At 46.4% G+C, this 19804-nt stretch overlaps 1 protein-coding gene across 2 annotated transcripts in view, besides 1 other annotated feature; it reads right to left on the bottom strand.

The window, feature by feature from the left end:
- The window catches only part of RPTOR (regulatory associated protein of MTOR complex 1), a 421531-nt gene that overhangs the window by 311215 nt on the left and 90512 nt on the right, over positions 1-19804 (bottom strand). For both annotated transcript variants that reach the window (NM_020761.3, NM_001163034.2), the window contains exon 3: positions 11344-11426. In NM_020761.3, coding sequence (NP_065812.1) covers positions 11344-11426 — 83 coding nt within the window. The remainder of the gene's footprint in view (positions 1-11343; positions 11427-19804) is intronic.
- Positions 17285-18065: an enhancer, noted in NCBI's record as "H3K4me1 hESC enhancer chr17:78610889-78611669 (GRCh37/hg19 assembly coordinates)". NCBI's record gives its function as "activates a minimal SCP1, AML or CMV promoter by ChIP-STARR-seq in naive and primed H9 embryonic stem cells {active_cell/tissue: H9 hESC(naive and primed)}" and the evidence as "EXISTENCE:reporter gene assay evidence [ECO:0000049][PMID:30033119]".

Here is a 19804-nt window from a genome sequence, read left to right as displayed (position 1 = left end):
ACATCATGCCACTGCACTCCAGCCTGGATGGCAGAGCAAGGCTCTGTCTCTAAATTAATAGATAAAGAAACTATGTTTTAGAGATCTTCCTACAACAGAAAGAAGTCTTCAATAATTTTGTGTTCTTTTCAAGTTTGAAATCCTTCAGAGGGAGGAGGATTAGAAGAGGAATGGTTTGGTAACTTTCTCTTTCTTCTATGTTTATCCATTTATTTTTCTTTACTATCTTTTCTGAGGTCAATTATGGTCATTTATATTTTCCTAGAAAATTATGCATCGCATACAAGTTTTCCAATTTATCTGCAAAGTTTTGCAAAGCACTCTTTTATGACTCTTGATTTCCTCAAATCTTGAGTTACTTCTCCCTGATTATCTGTGCCTTCTTCTTGGATTTTATTGGACTTCAGCTAAGATTTTTGTTTATAAAAATAAAACTTATAATTAAAAATTCTACACAAAAATGACTTGACTTCAGGGCATGTTCCAGTCCGGGGTAAGCAGCATGTTGATTAAGGAGCCTGCCACACATGCAACCCTTTAGAAGAGACTCTTCCTTATACAAGCCATGGGTAATCCTCCCGGTTCTGCTATGCGCTTTAAATCCTGCCACCCAGCCCTCCAGTCACAGGTGATTCTAGAGGGCAGCCTCACTCCCTCAGAACCAACCCACAGATGGGCCAGTTACACGGAGGACCACGTGAAGCTAAGCGGAGCTGATCGGCCTCTCTGGGTTGGGAAGGCAGTGGACTGCGCCGTCTTCCACGTGCTGGGCCGAGAGCCCACCGAGGGGAGCACCCTCACCACAGCCCGTGCAGCCCTCACCTGGGAGGGGTCTTTCCCGATTTCTGCCTCCATGGCTCCTCTGTTGTGCCTTAGCACCTGCATCAGTGGCCCTCAGGCATGCCCCCAGTTTTCTGTGTTTAAGACCCCACGGGGTGGGGGAATCTCCTTCTACTGTAGCCCAAAGTGAGGGTGCGACCCCCTGGCCTAGGGGCCACCATCACCCGGCACTGGATCAAGTGCACCCTCTCTCTCCTCTTGCTGGAAGTAAACGGCACCACCTGAGCCTGGCATCTGGCATCTGTTCTCAGGGACTTTGAACCACACACTCCCCTTGCCCCTGGGTGGCACTTGTCTGTCTTTTAACACTGGCCGTACAGCCTGGCCATCCAGGGAAGCATCAAACACTCTTGTGGGGGGAATTTAATCTTGAAAATCCAGCGACACAATGCAGTGGGCAGAGAGCTGAAGCTGAAGCAACAGAGGAAAGTCAGGAGGTGGTTTAGGACCAGGGACCACTAGGATGTGAACACAGCTGGCTCCTGTGGGGACCCCTGGGCCCAAGCAGATGGAGTCCCATCAAAGATGACTACATCAGAAAGGAAGGACCCAGCCCTCACACACAGGGAGGGGAAGGAACGTCCTGCAGCGTAACTGCTGAGTGGGGAGCAGAGACCCACAGGGCCGCAGCACGGCGGAGACCGGGCACTGGTGTGGACATGCACCGCCCCTCCTGCCAAGCTCCCAGTCCACTATGAGCCTCCAAGCTGCACCCAGACTTCACAGAGGCCCAGCTCCTCGGCCACTCTGCCTGCACTCACCCCGACAGGAGCTTTCTCCCGACATACACTCCAGGTGGAGAGACCACAGCTCTAAGAAAACCAAAAGACTCCTAACAAAAACACACAGGAATCTTAAGGGATTGGTATTAAATTATACAGTATATATATGATCAGTATAGTCAATAGTCAAAGAACCTCTTTTCTTTTTTTAATTAGAGACAAGGTCTCACTATGTTGCCCAGGCTGGTCTCCAACTCCTGAGCTCAAAGGATCCTCCTGTCTTGGCCTCCCACGGGCATGAGCCACGGTGCCTGGCTGAACCTCTTAACAGTTTTATGAAACCAATCTATCAAGACAAAGGCTCTTTTAAGAATTAAATGTTACCATGAGGCTCTCAGCAGACACCACACATATTATTTGGAAAGGAAACAAGTCCTCACAACAGAAATTATACCTTATTCAACTTAAAAGTCTCCATTTTGAACTCATAGAACTCAACAATAAAGACAAACAACCCAACTAAAAAATGGACAAAGGACTTGAATAGAGACTCCTCCAAATGGCCAATAAGCACATGAAAAGATGGCAACATCACTAATCATCAGGGAAATGAAAACCAAAACCACGATGAGATTCCACTTCATACCCACTAGGACTATCATAATAATAACAATGTAAGAATACAGAAAGTGACAAATGTTGGCCAGGATGTGGAGAGACTGGAGCCCTCATACACTGCTAGTAGACATGGACAAATAGTACAGCCACTGTGGAAAATAGATTGGGAGTGCCTCAGGGAGGTAAAATACAGGGTCACCATATGACCCAGCAACCCCACTAGTGGGCAGGGGCCCACACAAACACTAGCATGCACATATTCATAGCGGCATTATTCAAATAGCTAAAAGGTGGAAACCATGAAAGTGTCCATCAACAGATGAACCCATAAAATAGAAATGTAGACTAGCCATACAATGGAATGTTTTTCAGCTATAGAAAGAGTTGAGGCTGAAGCAGGATGATCACTTGAAGCCAGGGGTTCAAGACCAGCCTGAGCAATAAAGCGAGACCCTATCTCTACACATGCACACACAAGAAGGATTAAATTACTGATACATGCAATAGCATGGAGGAATCTTGAAAACATTCCAGATGCTAAGGAAAGAGCCCAGACGCAAAAGGCCACATACTGTATGGCTCCATTTGTGTGGAGTACCTAGAACAGGCATCTCCAGAGACAGAAGGCAGGCTGGTGACTGCCTGGGCCTGGGGGAGGAGAAATGACTGCCGATGGGCTTTGGGTTTCCCTTTGGGGTAAGAAAAGTGTTCTGGAACTAGACAGTTATGACAGTTATGACAGTTGCACAAGATTGCAAAGATGTTAAAAGCCAATTGAGTTGTACACTTTTTTTTTTTTTTTTTAAGATGGAGTCTCGCTCTGTCACCCAGGCTGGAGTGCAGTGGCGTGATCTCGGCTTACTACAACCTCCACCTCCCAGGTTCAAGCGATTCTCTTACCTCAGCCTCCGGAATAGCTGGGACTACAGGCACCCGCCACCACGCCCAGCTAATTTTTTTTTTTTGAGACGGAGTCTCACGCTGTCGCCCCAGGCTGGAGTGCAGTGGCGTGATCTCAGCTCACTGCAAGCTCCACCTCCCGGGTTCATGCCATTCTCCTGCCTCAGCCTCCTGAGTAACTGGGACTACAGTAGGCACCTGCCACTGCGCCCGGCTAATTTTTTGTATTTTTAGTAGAGACAGGGTTTCACCATGGTCTCGATCTCCTGACCTCACGATCCACCCGCCTCGGCCTCCCAAAGTGCTGGGATTACAGGCGTGAGCCACCGTGCCTGGCCATTTTTTAAATATTTTTAGTAGAGACAAGGTTTCACCATGTTGGCCAGGCTGGTCTCCAACTCTTGACCTCAGGTGATCTGCCCACCTCGGCCTCCCAAAGTGCTAGGATTACAGGCGCGAGCCACTGCGCCCAGCCAAGTTGTACACTTTAAAATGGTGAACTTGACGTTATGTGCTTCGTATGTCCATTTTAAAAAAATCTCCATTATGTGTCATACCAACAAGTAAATCGCGGACATTTGGGAGGGAGCTGTACAGAAGCCCTTGTGAACACCCAAATTCATGAACACCACTGTGACATATGGTTTCCCCTGCAAAATGAAATCAAGTACCGCAGACACTTTGAAGTGGCCGTCCCCCTCCAATCTGTTATTGATCGTTTCCCCCTTGATCAGCACTTTCCAATTTGGCTGGAGCAGGATTTTACAACTCTTCCTAGTTGCATATGGCGAGCATACGGTGGGTTCCTCATCGTCACCTCCAAATTTAGCTTTCCATTCTTTAACACATCACACCTTCCACTTTCTGACTTAGAAGCAGCACTTCCATCCCTCGCCTGGCACCTGCCTGTCCTTCAGAGCCATCTCCGCATCGCTCTGTATCACGGTCCCCAAGTTAACTCAGGAAACACACATGGCACGTGAGATCTGTGAAACGACAACAGCTGAGCTACAGTTTTAGTCCCCAGCCTGACGGTGGGGGGTCCTCATTTGCAATTTGTCATACACACAGACAACTCCCTTGTTAAAGGGAACATGATGATGAGAGATAATATCCTCGAGAGGCCTGTTAAGGACAGAGTTAAGCCCCTACTTCTCTCTAAAAGTATTACACTTCAAGTAGGTCAATTAATAGAGGAAGAGTCAGGAATGCAGTTATCCCCGCAAGAGGATAAAACCAGAGATAAGGCAGGATGGGGAGGGGCTTAAGGCAGCAAGACTCCTGGGCAGAATGTTCTGGGAGGGGCCTCCACCACCTCAACCATGAGGGAGAGGAAGGGATAAGGGACAGAAAGGGATGGGAAGTAAGGATCTGATGACCAACCACCATGGCCTCCCTGGTGCAAATGCTTTATATACTTTTATTCTGTCCATTAACTCTCATTTGCATGTACAAATTTTAAAAGTTTAAATAGTAATTTGTCCAGAGTTACATTTCTAAGAAGTGGCAAAGCCAGAACTAAACCAGTTCGCATTCTTTCCACAGTTAAGCTCTCCCCACCCCACCCCTCAGTGCACTGGTAGAAAGGAGACCACATTTCCCAGGGAGCTCCCCTACCAGTGAGAGGGGCGCTCCCGCCCAGAAAGGGAAGGAGCGGTGAGCCCAGCACGACTCTGCGGACCTACGAGGCAGAAGGGAGGAGGCGGACTCCACCAATCTTCCCTAGGCAGTGTTTAAACAGGCTGCGGCCCATGCTGCAACCCACTCTAGTCAACACGCGTGCTCTTCAATCCCAAATGGGCTCTCTAGTGAATCCCCTAGGTGGCCTCGGAGAGCAAGAGTCCAACACAGGGCTGGCCAGCAGGGGTCCCCTCTGGGACCAGCTCTAATGGACTGAAACCCTGAGGAGTCTAGTCACAACAGGCTGCCATCCTCCAGGAGGCTGCAGAACCATGCCTTTCTTTCATTCTTCTTTCTGTAATGTCTTTGGTGTGCCTAAAAGAATTTATAGGTCATGTCACTAAGGTATTCGGAGGGATAGCAGTAGGTGACAACACCTTTATGCTCTGGTGCAATTGGTCTAAAGAGTCCGGAATAAACTGCTTCGCATAATCTAAGCTTGCTTCCAGGAAGCTGCTTCCAATACCATGGCCTCTGGGGACAGGGCAAGGCAGGAAGTGCGTGGGCAGGGCTGACTACGAAGGCTTCTGGCTGAAGAGCATGAATCAGAGTTCTCACTGAACACGGCACGCACGTGGAAAAGCTTTCAGGCGAGAAGCACTAGAAAGGAGGGAAGACGAAGTGGGAGAGCACTGCTGAGGCCAAGGCAAAAATATAAGTAAAAACATTGATCATAGGAACAGTTCTTAACTTTCTGGGCAGTAAGCAGTTAAGTGAAACTGTCAAAGCACCACAGTTAACCCCAAGACCACCAGAAGATATTGTCTGTACCGTCCTGCAAATTTAATGAGTACACAGGCAAAGTGCTTCACACCAGGTACTGAATTATGCAAGCTGTGAGCCATCCACCCACAGTTCTGCCTTTGCCCATGAGTCCTCACTGGCAGCTTGTCACAGAAACTCAAGGTGGATGAAGCCCAACCTTAGGACCCACAGAGAAGAAAGTCAGGTGAGTTTGGGCAGGAGGAGGGAGGGCTGGCGGCAGGGCAGACAGCAAGACGGGATGGATGATGGAATGGTAATGGCATCAGGGCCGCACGCCAAGGGATGCTGCCAATCGCAATTATAGGGCCATTTTCACCAGCTGAACTGGACTGTCAATTTGGAACTAATGTCGCAACGTGAATGCCCCAAGCAGGAGTCACAGCGAGTAACGGTCCACCTTGGGCTGTTCCATGAATAGCTTTGGAGCACCTCCAGGTGTGGAGTACTGTCCTAGGGCAACTTAGCTGCTTCTTCCCCGATTATCCATATCTGAGCCTGAAAATCCTAAGAAAAGGTAGAACCCACTGATTTATGCGTCTTGACTGCATCTGTATTAGCCCATTTTCATGCTGCTGATAAAGACATAACCAAGACTGGGCAATTTACAAAAGAAAGAGGTTTAATAGACTTATAGTTCCACATGGCTGTGAAGGTCTCACAATCATGGCGGAAGGTAAGGAGGCGCAAGTCACATCTTACATGGATGGTGGCAGGCAAGAGAGAGCTCGTGCAGGGACGTGAGACTTGTTCACTACGGACAACAGCACAGGAAAGACCCGCCCCTATGATTCGATTACCTCCCACTGGGTTCCCCCTATGGCACGTGGGAATTGTGGGAGTGACAATTCAAGATGAGATCTGGGTGGGGACACAGCCAAGCCATATCAGCATCCATCTATAAAATTCATTCCAAAACATTTGGGGGTGGGGGGCACAAGGAAGCGAGTGACTTGTGCTGATACCAATTGCTTTGCCCACAAAGCAGAGGCCTGTCTAATCATCCCAGGGGAAAGAAGACAAGTGGATCTTAGAAGCCATCCATGCAGTGCTCCCCAAAGCCAACCCGGCTGCCTGACTAGGCGCCTCCCACCACACCTAGCAGTGTGAGCACTCAATACCAAGGGTTTCACAGTTTGTCACACATGGCCACATGACACTCCCTGTGAGGTGGACAGGTCAAGCAGCAGCCCCATTCAGGGACAAGGAGAAGATGCCTGGATTCCAATTATCCTCACTCCAAACCCCTAAACAACATGGAATTACACATAAACATTCAGTTCTGCAAATAACACTTGTGCCTAAAATCCAAAAGACACACCTGTTAAGTAGAACCAAAACTGCCCACCACTGGCCTTCTCAACCCCCTTGCTCCCCAAACCCCCTCCTCCCAACAGGAGGTATAGTCATCAGCTTCGGTTCATTCAAAGCATCTCATAAAAGCACACAAACAACTCTATTATCAATACCACGAAAGGATGACTGTCATTTACATTAAAATGCAATAACAATTTCTACTGGGCTAATGGACCAGATCTTGGGAGCTGTTTTGTTCTCTCCTTGAACATACTCTGCTTGGGGTTAGGCACTATAAAAAACATGTTTATCTAATGGCAAAACCAACTTTCATCCCTTAACCACAAATTAACTGTGACACATCTGAGAAGCACGGTGAACTGAAGGGAAGCTGACATTCAAAATCTGTTCACTGTAATCCACAAACCAGGGCTGTGCATGGATAAGTAAGAACTGTCCACCACATGGAAACTGACTCAACCTGACCGCTCAGCTCCCTGGAAGCCCCACGGCCGCCACACAGGACTTGCTGCCTTCACTACTCGCAGACCTGGACAAGATGAGAATGAGCTCCTACAACAACGTGGCTCCATGACTGAGGAGCGCCTTCCGCCTCCTCCCCTAGACACACCTGCCCGACGGACAGACTTGGTCAGTGGAGGCACCGCCATGCTGTTTCATCTTCCTTAGTAAATGATAGATATTCCCATAGAAACTTATTTTTAAGGCACCAGAAGAATTAAAGCTCACCCCAAGTAAAGAGGTGTGGCCTCTGCTTCTGGTGTTGTCCACTCTCTCTGGGGAAAGAAGGACACAGAGAGCGAGGCCCCTCCTGCTTGTCTTTTTCCACAGGCTCCAGCTCCTAACTTCCATCCTGTACTAAACTGCCAGTAGCCCCAATTTGTTAGAAAAATTCTCTAAAAAGATAAATTCTTCACTGTATGGTCCCAGCTTTATAATAATCTCCTACTCCCATTTCCCAATAAAACTTTCATTTGAGACTTATGATGGAATGAGTGAGGTTTTACTGCAGAATTTTCCACTGAAACAACGGTCGGCATTTTCCTCCAATCTCTGGCAGAACACAAATTTATACACCTACAAGGTAATAAGGCAAAGCCTTAAATTTAATCAGAAGAAACATTTCATCAGTGGCAAACTGATAAATTATTTAGAAAAGGGCTCAATGGGCCTAAGCAAGGAAATACGGGCCAGATAGTGGCTGGCAGCCTTCAGAAAAAAATATAATCACCATGGTTTCTCTCAATTCCTTTTGAACTGGAATCACCTATATCAAAAGCTAGAAAAATGAAGAACAAGTCCAAGCGTTCCAGCACCAGCAAGGAAATCATCAGAGGCTTCCAGACACCATTCTGGTGCAGCCGACGGGGGTTCCGGGGTTGGCTTTCTGCACCTCCTGGATGGACGCTACCGTTGAGAAAACAGGCATTTCCTACTCTGCTCCCATCCATGCCAGCGTGGAGGCAACGACTCCGACAAACTTTAATGAAAATAATCTCATTTTCATTAAATGACCCAAGGTTTTCCACTCTTGCAATAAAGACACAGAGAAAGAGAAAACCAGATATATGGGTCTTTCCACTGAAGGTCTGGGAAATTTAATAACGCCCCCATTGTTTTATTGCAGATGGCACATCAACCTCTCTTTATTACTGCAGAAACTCAAGAGCCCTGTAGAGTGCAATCAAGTGGTGCGTGTTTAGCCTTGCAATGTTTCAAAGGACCCTGATTTACAGTCAGGAACCAGGCCCCTTGCACACAAACATCTGAGTTTGCTAAGTGCCTCCTGTTTCATGCAAACTCTAGAAGGCAGCATGAGGTCTGCCCCACACTGAGAGCCACGCTATCTATGCCAGGCCTCCCTCCCTCTGTCCTGTAACCCACGGAAAGCTGTGAGGAGCAGTGTGCCACGCGCACCGGGGCAAGTGCTATTATTACCCAGTGCATATGGCACAGCCCCACGCTCACACCTGGGAGCCGGTCAGAGGTATCCTGTGACATCCGTTACCTTAGGCTAATTTCTAAAATAGATGAGGCCCGCTCATGGATAGTAGCAGGAAATTTTTAAACATTTTTATTGTACTAAAAAATGAATGCAATGGTGTTGGCATTCGAAAAGCAAATATTAGGTGTCCATTGTTGTGGTTTTGCTTCCTGAATGGGGACAAAAGATCCCACTCTGTGTGCAAGAACAGCTTCCTTCTAGGCTGCAGCGGATACTTTATTCCAGATTCCACTTTATAAACCAGCCCAGATGGGATCCCGCCTGCGCTGGTACCTTTTCCGAAGCATCCTGTAATCTTAACACATTCTCCATCTCACCAGCCCTTCAAACGATCTCTTACTCAGAGAATTATTTTGCACATCCATTCTTGAAATCTGGCCAACTTTAACAAATTTTCCCAGACTACAGATCATTCAGAGGACTGCACCCCTTTGCACCTGTGCTCGCTGTCCGAATACAACTGTGCCACTGTCATGGGCAGGGAATCCTCCATCCTGTACTGAGTCTACACTGTCATCTTTCTGGCTGTCATCACTGACCTACATGTAAAGGTCACCTTCCCTACATCATGATGCCGCTTCTCAATGCCATGGAGAGATCTGCTCGTAGACAGAAATTTAGATTAAAAATAACAGATGCCACTTTAGAAGATTCCATTTCCTGTCAGCTAGCATCAACTAGCTGATATCTACCAAGCGAAACTAATAATAAAGCCAGCAGTAAATCAACTCTTAGCACTCAAAAAAAACAATTGTAAATCAGAGCAAATGGAATACACATACAATATCTTGAAATATTAAACACATGTATTCTGAAAGGCTATATTTCCTTATCTAATAATTCTTGGAAAAGAAGAAACTAGTTTTAATAGCAGAGACTCATTCTAGAAAGAACACAATTGGTAGATCTGAATTTATTGGGTTACATTCTTTTTTAAACAAAGGTATCTAGTAAAACGCAAAGGTACAAAGCCAAACCCAGGAGATGGCCAGAAGTAGCCAGAAAGGCATTCCTCTGAATTCCCATAGTGTTGGTTAACGACATGCCATGTGCCAACACGGCCATGTCTTCTAATACTGCCACTCTGCCCCACACTCCTGCAAGTGCCCGTCTCACCATGCTGAGACCCTAGGGTACCTTCAAAGTCTTCAAAGAAGCTATTATCTATGGAAAACACGAGGCATCTCAACTACATTTTTACAGGACTCCACCATCCAAATCTCTCTCCAGTCCTCATGCCATCCCCAAACGCACTGCGCCCTCAAGAAAAAGGCTACAGCATGTGTACACAAACCATCAAGAGGCAACCAATTTAAGAGAGGAAAAAGTCAAGCCATTAGGCATCAGTCAAGAACCCATGAAGCCACTGCCTTCTAAAGAACAAAAGTCTGCTGTTATTGACTTGACAAGTTGGCAATGCAAGCACAAAGGTACACCCTAAGACACAGAGATGCTTCCTAACAATTAGCTCATGACTGGAAGCAACAGCAGAAATGACCTAAGGGCATTTTTAAAGGCAGGAAAAAATTCATTTTTGGCTGTTCTCTTACTCTAAGAATGTAAATAATGTATAAGGAATCTCTAAATCCCACATCATGTGGATAAATGATCCACAAATCAAAATTCCAACCAAATAAGTGTTCAAAAGGTTCCATAAATCATGTGTTTTCATGAGGCTTTCATCCAAAAGGGGAGAGTAAAACTTGCAGGAGACGCGCACCTTCTCAACCTGCATTCTTCATTATTTCCTTTAGGTAACTCGAGTCCATCTATCATGCAAAGCTGAATATAGGGCACTTCCATAAGTGCCCAGATTCTTAGTTTTTTATTAAATTTATTAAATCTCCAAACCAGTTAATAAGAAAGGCTAAAGGTCTTTGGGTGGATTACAAGTAACTTAAGATCTTAAAGGCAATTTGACACAGTTATATTCTAAGCCACTTTTCTTTAAACAAACAAACAAAAAACTGTAAGATATAAGCCAAAAAAAAAAAAAAAAAAACCCACACACTAATTGGTAACTGGCTCCCTAAAAAGAACCTTATCTTTTGAATCAAAGGCAAAGCATATAATAAGTGTTATCTTTTGACTGTTGGGTGTTTTTTTCTCAACTATGTGAAAACTGAAGACACGCGGAATAGCGTTAACTAGTTGAGGTTGCAGAAAAATTATCGAAAATACATTTCCTGAGAAAAATTAAAACCATGGTTAAGAGCGAAAAGAATACTTTTTCTTTTCTAAAAATCTGGAACAAACTTAAGCAAAATAAGTTGGACTGTCCAATGCAAGACTCACAATAATGCGGACGCTGTCAAGACAACACAGCCACCAATAGCCAGCAGGCAGAACGCAGGCACACGAAACGCAGTGCGCAGGCGCCATGCCACACAAGGGCAGGGTGTGCACAGAATTCTCACTTGGATCCAAAGAGTGTTGGAAACCAAGGAACTGGAGTTTCCCTGTAAGAAGGAAAGGGAAGAGCAAGTGAAGCACACTTACCCTTGGCTGCCAGTTCTCGTACTGCTTCTGTAAATTTGCACCGATGGTTTCCAGAGCTTTCTGAGGACCCATCGACAGAGGATCTGAGGAAGCAATGGAAAAGAGAAAGTTCTTTACGTCTGCATTTCCTCCTCTGCTAGGCCTCTCTTCCACAGTTTCTCCTTATATAACACACTTCAAAGTCACCTTTGACTAAAAGTAACACAACGCCTAAGGTTGATCAGTGTTAACCAGATTTACTGAACAGCTAAGGTGCTCAAACAAGCTGACACGCCGTGAAGGCCAGTGTTTTAACATCACGGGCAAGTGAATGCTGTTATTCTACCCACGTTCATTTGTATTTCGGCACCTGCAGCTTTCCCGCACTTGCACTGTTTTATTCTCAGGCTCCTGCTCAGGCTTTCTCTGAGAAGGCAGCTCTGCAGTGACAGCATATGCTTCCTCCTGTTCAAACTATGGCTCTCATGGGTACAGGAAAAGGAGGAGAGAAAAAGACAAAGAAGTGATACTTTTTAATTAATTTTCATCTGCACTCAGTATTCCCACAAAAAAAATCCGTTTCACAAATGTACATTCATGTCCAGGATTTACCCATTTATTTCAGGAGTGGGTTCCAGGGCAATTAACTCTAAATCAGCAGTTCTCAAACTTGTTTGGTCTCAGGACCCCTTTGCACTCTAAAATTATTGAAAACCTCAAAGAGCTTTGGTTTATGTTGTTGAATCTATCAATATCTACTCTATGTGAAATTCAGCTAAGATTTTTTAAATATTTTTCTTCATTCATTTTAAAAACAATAACCCATTATATTTTAACATAAATATTTATTACAAAAATAACTATTTTTTCCAAAAAAGTTTAGTAGAAGAGCAGCATTTTTGCATATTTTTGCGAATTTCTGGAATATGTGGTTTGATCAAGGATGGGTGACTCTCATCCATTTTTGCATTCGCCTGTGGCATTTCATGGTTTCAGTGACTGCATATGTGGAAACCCCTACCTCACACATATATCTATCATTAGAAAACAGAAGAGTATCTTAAAATGCTATTTTACATAATCATGACTCTTTTTGTTTGATACTACACCAAAAATTATCAAGTGGTAATTTCCTTCAGATTATATGAGATGTAGTATCTGAAACCACATCAACGAACTTTTTGTATGCTATGACATTAAAATTCACTGCTGTTTGCTGCACCTTGAGTGGATTTTTTACCCATAGATTATTTTGTATCATCATGCATTGATCATCTGGAAAATATCAGCTCATTGAACTATACAGATCTTGTATATTTCATTCCCCAATATTTTTTTAAGAATCCACACTCATTAACATTACCATGAGCTCATCAGAAATGTCTTAAGTACTAAGAAGTTGCCAGGCTCGGCCAGGTGTGGTGGCTCACCACCGTAATCCTAGCACTTTGAGAGGCCAAGGTGGGTGGATCACCTGGGGTCAGGAGTTTGAGACCAGCCTGAGCAACATGAAACTCCGTCTCTTCTGAAAACACAAAAATTAGCTGGGCGCCTGTAATCCCAGCAACTCAGGAGGCTGAGACAGGAGAATCACTTGAACCCTGGAGGCAGAGGTTGCAGTGAGCCGAGATCACGCCACTGCACTCCAGCCTGGGCGACAGAGTGAGACTCCATCTCAAAGACAACAACAACAACAACAAAAAAGAAGTTGCCAGGCTCATAGTGGTAGGTACAAGGTTTCCAAATTTTATTTTTTTTATTTGAAATCTCAAATTTTATCAGTGGAAACAAACACTGTCAGTTGTTTTCCTTAATGTGACAGGCTCATGTCATTCATTTTCCAGAAAACATCTGCCAACTACTCCAGGTCTGTCTGTTGGGGGTAAAATGCTATCAAACAGCACCACATGCTACAGAGAAATGCTGCGTGAAAGCAAGAGCCAATCAATGCAGCAAATTTTGTTATTGTCTTATTTTAAGAAATTCCCATAGTCACCCCTACCTTCAGCAACCACCCCTCCTCCATTAGTTGGCGGCCATCCACATGAGGCAGGACCCTCCGTCAGCCAATTAAATGCTAAAAGATTACAACTCGCTAAGGCTCCAGTGATCATTAACATTTTTCAGTTTTTAAAATAAAGTGTGTATGTTCTTTTGGACACAATGCTACTGCACACTTCACAGACTACAGTACAGTGTAAACGTAACTTTTATATGCACTGGACACCAAAACGTTCATGTAGCTCACTTATTGCAGTCGTCTAGAGCCACACCCGCAGGATCTCCAAGAGCCACCTGTATAGTTTTTGGCATTATTTAATTATTATTTTTTTAGCTATATGTATGTTACTCTGATAAAAAAATAAAATAAAAATCATGACGTTAATAAGATTTTACAACTGGAAAGGGCCTTCGCCCATAGATAGGTCAAAGTCATCAAGGGCTTTTCAAAACAGAGATGCCAGGCCCTAACCTTCTGGAAATTCTAATTCAATGGTTCTAATTCAATGGACACCTCTGGCTGAGAAAAGCTTGGTAAAAACCAGGTAATATCTAACTTCTCTGGAAGAATTGTGGTAAATTTGTTATAATCCGTAATCTGTGACTTCAGACGTTACATGTTTGGTCTTCATTTCTCTCAGGAACAAAGTTCTAAGGTCTCAAAAAAATCATAGTGACCCAAATCAACTGTGCTGTGATCAGACCCACAAGATAGGATTGGATTGGGATCTGAAAAACAAAAAATAGGGGCCACGAAGTACACAAACAAGGCAAAGGAAAGCAAAAAACAGCTTTAACAAACAGATGCCAAAGAGCGACCTTGCCGCATGCATGAGGAGGAGCAAAGTAAACGCACAGGGCTGGCTGGAAGGCGTTGAGTTCAGTCACCCATACTTAACTGCAGCAACCAGCATGGTCGCGGCCCGCGGCTGTCATCTATGGTCAGAAAACTGTCCATGCATCACGACGGTCAGCGGTGGCTCACACTATGCATGCTCTCCAGTGAACCACGGACAGAGGAAGAAGGGAGGGAGTTCCCATTCAAGGAGTACCCCCTCCTTGGATTTCACCCCTTGGAAAGTCCAGGCCCTTCTCCCATCCCACCCTCTCCCCAGTGTTGGCAGGAGGCAGCCACTTCCCTGCATCCCTCACAACATCCTGCAGAGACATGGCGGCCCTCGTTAGTAGAGACAGCCTGGCAGGGGCCCCACTCTCCCTGCCCTGACTCAGGTCAGGATACCTGCCCACCCAGGAGGGGTGAAACCACTGTCAGCTGCTCACCAGGCCGTGACCAGCTACATGGCACTATAACCGCCTATCCACTGGGAATCCCTGTGGTCAGTTAATTGTATGGTTCCCTTCCAAGAATAGGGCAGTGGGTGGGAGAGCTGAAATGAGAAGCAGAGGAAGAGACGGGAAAGAATGAGGTCAAATGAAACGATGCATTTAGCATTTGATTAAGTATAATTTAAATAAACTAAAATTAAATTCCCCGATAGATATTATTGACAACAGTATCAGTCTGATGTGGGGTGAAGTGGACAGATCATAAATGTAAAACTGTAGTTGTGTCTTATAAAACATTTCTCTTCTAATTCCTTTATGAGCTCCTATTTAAGGGGAATCTGGGAAAGAACTAATGAAACTTCAGCGGCGAGTGAGTGTGTGGGTAAATTGATGAATGAAATGGATGGGTAGGTGGATGGAAAAGGAGATGGTAAATGGTATTTGCATAAAACTTTTAGTTCTTTATAAATTTTCCTATTTGCAAGATTTTCAGCATAACCCCTCTGAATTTCAAGATACTTAGAACTTTACACTGAAAGGAACTTGGTCCAACCCACCTCATGGGACAGAAGGGCAAGCTGAAGTTTAAAGCAGTCAAATGACTTGCTCCAAGGTTATTGATAGTGCTGGCATTCAGCCAACCTGAAGGGGTGCAGCTTTTTCTTTTTAAACCTCTCCATCTTCTTCCTATGTACCCAGTTTGATTACCCATCCTATCCATTTCACCTTCCAAAGAGCTGGCACTCCACCAGCCACTGCTAACATGTTCACCCAATCCGCAGCCCTTCACGATGCTACTGAGACTCTCCCACCTCCCAGCTGGGTTCCTCAATCTGGCCCAATGGCCCCAAAGAGTGGTGCCCCAGGCACAGACAGGGCCACCAATGACCTAGTCTTTCTCTTCTCAGTCCACCCTGAAGATGAGCGCAGGCTGACCCCTCCCCTCAGAAGCCCACAGTGCGGGCTGTGTGCTCCATTTAGATGGAAAGCTGCCAAGAGTGGAGACCCAGCAGTGCAGCTGGGGGAGGGGACCCAAAGGGGACAAGATAAGACTTCTGGGCCAATGGTCATCTTGTTCCTTGATCTGGGGTCCATGGGTATGATCAGTTTAGGATACACCCGGGTTAGGTGCAGTTTCCTCTGTGTGCTATCCTTCAGTGAAAAGTTCACACTGAAAGCCCCATCCAGCACTCACTGCTCGGACAATCTTTGTAGTTCTTTGTACCGTGTATTTAGCAGACACTTAATAAACATTTTTAATTGACATATTGAGTGCTGCCTACTAGATGAAGTGCAAATTTCTCTGTGTGGTTTTCAAGGACTCTGCCACTCATTAGTTGTGTAGCCTTAAACAACTCATTTTTGACTGAGAAAATACATAATAGCAAAGGGGCTACTTTGAAATTAGAAATGATTTTTAATGAGTCTATATTTTCCTAACCATAATGCCATCCCTGTCTATTTTGTAATAATTAGTCCTGTATACAGTGAGAGGCGTGTGATCTTCCTCAGCTCAGGCGCAAAGCTTGGAGCCACACAGCTGCAGGCATCTGGGACAGGAAAGCTTCGGCCGGGACCCGCGGCCCTTGCAGCGTCTGTGGGACTAGGACGGGAGCCGTACAGGAGCGAGATCTTTTACAGTCTGGCCCCGTTCTAACACTAGGCCTCACTCCTCACATAGCTACAAAATTACGTTCCTGTGTTGCCTATTGCTGTATTATACAAAAACCAAGAGCTAGACGGATTTTCAGCAGATATGAGGGGATGAACATGTCCTGTTTTAAAAAACTGTCCTCACTTTGGAAAGTAGATACAGGAGAGAGGTGGGCTCCAAGCAGTTAACCCCCTTCTTTCAGATTCCTTCAGAGGGGAAGCAGAGATACCACCTTGAGACACCAATGGAACTGGCAGAGAAAACAGTATGTTAAACCTGGGCAACAAAATGAGACCCCGTCTCTACAATAATTTTTTTTTAATTAATCAGCGTGTTGGTGCATGCCTGTGGTTCCAGCTACTCAGGAGGCTGAGGTGGGAGGATCGCTTGAGTCCAGGAGGTAGAGGCTACAGTGAGCCATGATCACACCACTGCACTCCAGCCTATGTGACTCCGTCTCAAAAAAAAAAAAAAAAAAGAAAGGAAGAAAAGAAAACAGCATTTTAAACCATAAGCCCCAAAGAGCCAAGGTTTCAGCTGTGGGCACAGAGCTGTGTGCACAGAGCATACGGCTGTGACTGGCCGTGGCTAACGGGTGCTACTGACCCCCCAGGCCCAAAGGGAGCCCAGCTGGTGTGCGAAAACCCAGCCCCTCGGACCTCAGAGTGTGGGCTCATGCTCTTCCTTCAGCTCTTTGCTCTTGCCTCCCACTGCCTGCCCTGACGTCTCTACCGCAGCATTCTCTGGCCTTCCAGGCCGTTCAAGCTTGACCTCGTATTGGTCTCTGTTCTACTGCATGGATCCTAGTCTTACCTCCCCAGGTGTACTATCAGTGCCTTGAAAGCAAGAGCACAGCTTACAGTTCCTTGTATATGGCACTATGCTTAACATATACGTTTCCACCTAATCAATATCTGTTAACCAACTTGACTGGTCTATGAATCCCAAATGGTTGCAAGAATCAATGACGAAGTCTGTGCAAGTGCTCTGTAAACCCACGAGCCGCCGCCAAGGGCGATCACGACTATTTTCAGCTCATCTACCCAAGGTCTCTTAATGCTCACGTGTTTGCATTAAGAAGAGAAAAACAAAGCTAAGACCTCCCAAACGTTCCCTTGGGATGACAGAATTTCCACACATCTGACAAACCTTTGCATTCTCACCTCTTCTGATACACAGCTACCATTAGCTGGCACACAAAACCATTTCCGCTAAATGACACTCCCTGCTCAGCATGCAGCTCATCCGCACTCTGCTGCCACAGCAGAGTTCCCCAAGAGTGGGGCACGCGCAGCTCTTCAGCAGGATTGTTTTTAGTATTACTGTTGTAGTATTTAATGTCGGGCCATAAAACAAAACAGCCTCTCCCCTGCTTCTCTGAAAAGGGACAAGTGTCACTTCTATGAACTAGAACAGCAACTTATTATCCAGAGGGGGGCGGAGCAGGGGTGGGAAAAGAGGTCTTGGCCGTCAGCAGGGGCAGGGCTGGAAACGCAGGTGTGTGCTGTGACCCCGTCTCGCCAGTTCCAGCACGCTCAGGACCTGGATCCCATTTCTCACGAGCTGACTCCACAGCCCCAGGCTTCATCCGGATGACCTAGCAGGGAGGCCATGACACCCAGAGCCACGCTGGGCATGGGCCCCTTGTTTGCTCACAGACATGACGTCTGCTCTCCCTCATCTCTGGAAGGAGTGCTGTCTTCCTGCATGGTTCAGGCACACACAGTTACCCTTATTTTTCAAGCTTCTCAGACCCCTCTGACATCAGCACAGACCACCTTCCGCTCCACCCCACCCTGCCCAAAAATGAACCCCATACTCAGGGTTCTACATAAAGCACTGGGGATTCACACACATTGCTACCTGCATATTGGATGTTTAATTTGTAAAACGAAATAAGCAGCACCGTGCATCTACTCCCAGAATCTGCTGGAGACCTTCAACCCTGAGTGAGCGGCCGTCCTGCAAGGCTACATGCCCGGCAGTGGGGCTCAGTGAGGTGTGTTCACTGCAGCCCTCTTTCGTAGTCAGCCCTACAGAAAGCAGCGGAAGAGGCACGGATTCAGGAAGCAGCTCATGCAGCACCTTGGCCCCTGCTCCCCATGCAGCACTGGGGCGTGTTGGGGAGGGGTGTGGGTGATCTGGAGTGGCGGTACTGGGGCGTGTTGCGGGGGTGTGGGTGATCTGGAGTGGGGATACTGGGGCTAGTGCTATGTTCTGAATATGTCCCCAAAAATGTACGTGTTGGAACGGAAGCCCAATGTGGTAGTATGAAGAGATGGGGCCTTCAGGAGGCGATCGTGTTTCATAAAAGGGCTGGAGGGAACTAGACGCACACTTCTGCTTTTCTGTCCCTTTCACCGTGACAGGACACAGTGTTACAGCCCCATCTTGGAAGATGGACAGGGCCCTCAAGAGACAACAGACCTGCCAGTGCCTTTATCTTAGACTCCTCAGCCTCCAGAACTGCGTGAAATACATTTCTGTTGTTTGTAAATTACCCAGTCTCGGGTATTCTGTTACAGCAGCAACAACAGACTAAGACAGTGTTGCAGGGGTCGGGATGCTTGAGGCGCTGTGACGTAGGGGTCGGGGTGTTTGAGGTGTTGTGATGTTGGGGTAGAAGTAGGGACTAGAGTTGGGGCGGCGGAGGTGAGGACCAGTCTCTGCACCAAACCAGGTCTCTGCTCCCAGTTAATTCCCCCACCCTGCCATGAGGTACACGGCATCACTAGCTCCACTTTACAGATGAGGAAACTGAGGCCCAAAACAGTTAAATGTGTAGCACAGCTGGAAGGAATAAAGCTGGAGTCTTGATTAACACAAAAATCTCGATTTCTAGTAATAGACCTCAAAATGCTAAGACCAAATATAAAATCCTGAGGTCTGCCTTCTAAACGGTAACATGTTTGTAAGTAATTTGATTGCACCAATCCCTGTTTTGGCTTCCTCCATGGCCCCCGTCATTCTCATCTTGAGGAAGGCAGAGCAAACCCATCACTGAGCCCAGCCCCAACACTAGTACCCCACTCCTCACCTTCCTGGCCAAGCTGCCCCACAAGCTTCACCACCTCATCTGCCTTCACTCTTCAGGTTGCTACAATCAGCCTGGACACCACCTCAGCCTTGACAATGCTGACCAGAAGCTCCTCCACGCACTCATCCAGAACCACCCTGGTCCTCCTCTTTGGCACCCCTCTCTGCACCCTCAGGGCCCTGCCTCTGCCCGATACCCTCTGGTCTAGTTCGTACTAGGCGCTGACCTCCCCTGGGTCCTCTAGTCTACAATGAGCCCTCTTCTCCCACCAGATCCACTTTCCACTGGATGGTGGCTCCGCTTGGAGGTTCCTACAAGCACCTCACCATGTGCGAAATGGTACCCCACCATCTGCCAGCCAGCCCAGCTCCCGTCCCAGTCTTGGTTACTGGTGTATCATCCTTCCCTCGGCTGACCAGGCCTGAAACCTAAAGCACTTGTTGAAAATGCTAAAATCCCTTCTTCAACAATCCTAAAGCCACAAGGTGGGTCTGGGCAAAGCT

This window comes from Homo sapiens, chromosome 17, assembly GCF_000001405.40.
Source record: "Homo sapiens chromosome 17, GRCh38.p14 Primary Assembly".
NCBI lineage: Eukaryota > Metazoa > Chordata > Mammalia > Primates > Hominidae > Homo > Homo sapiens.
This window is presented reverse-complemented; position numbering and strand designations above follow the sequence as displayed.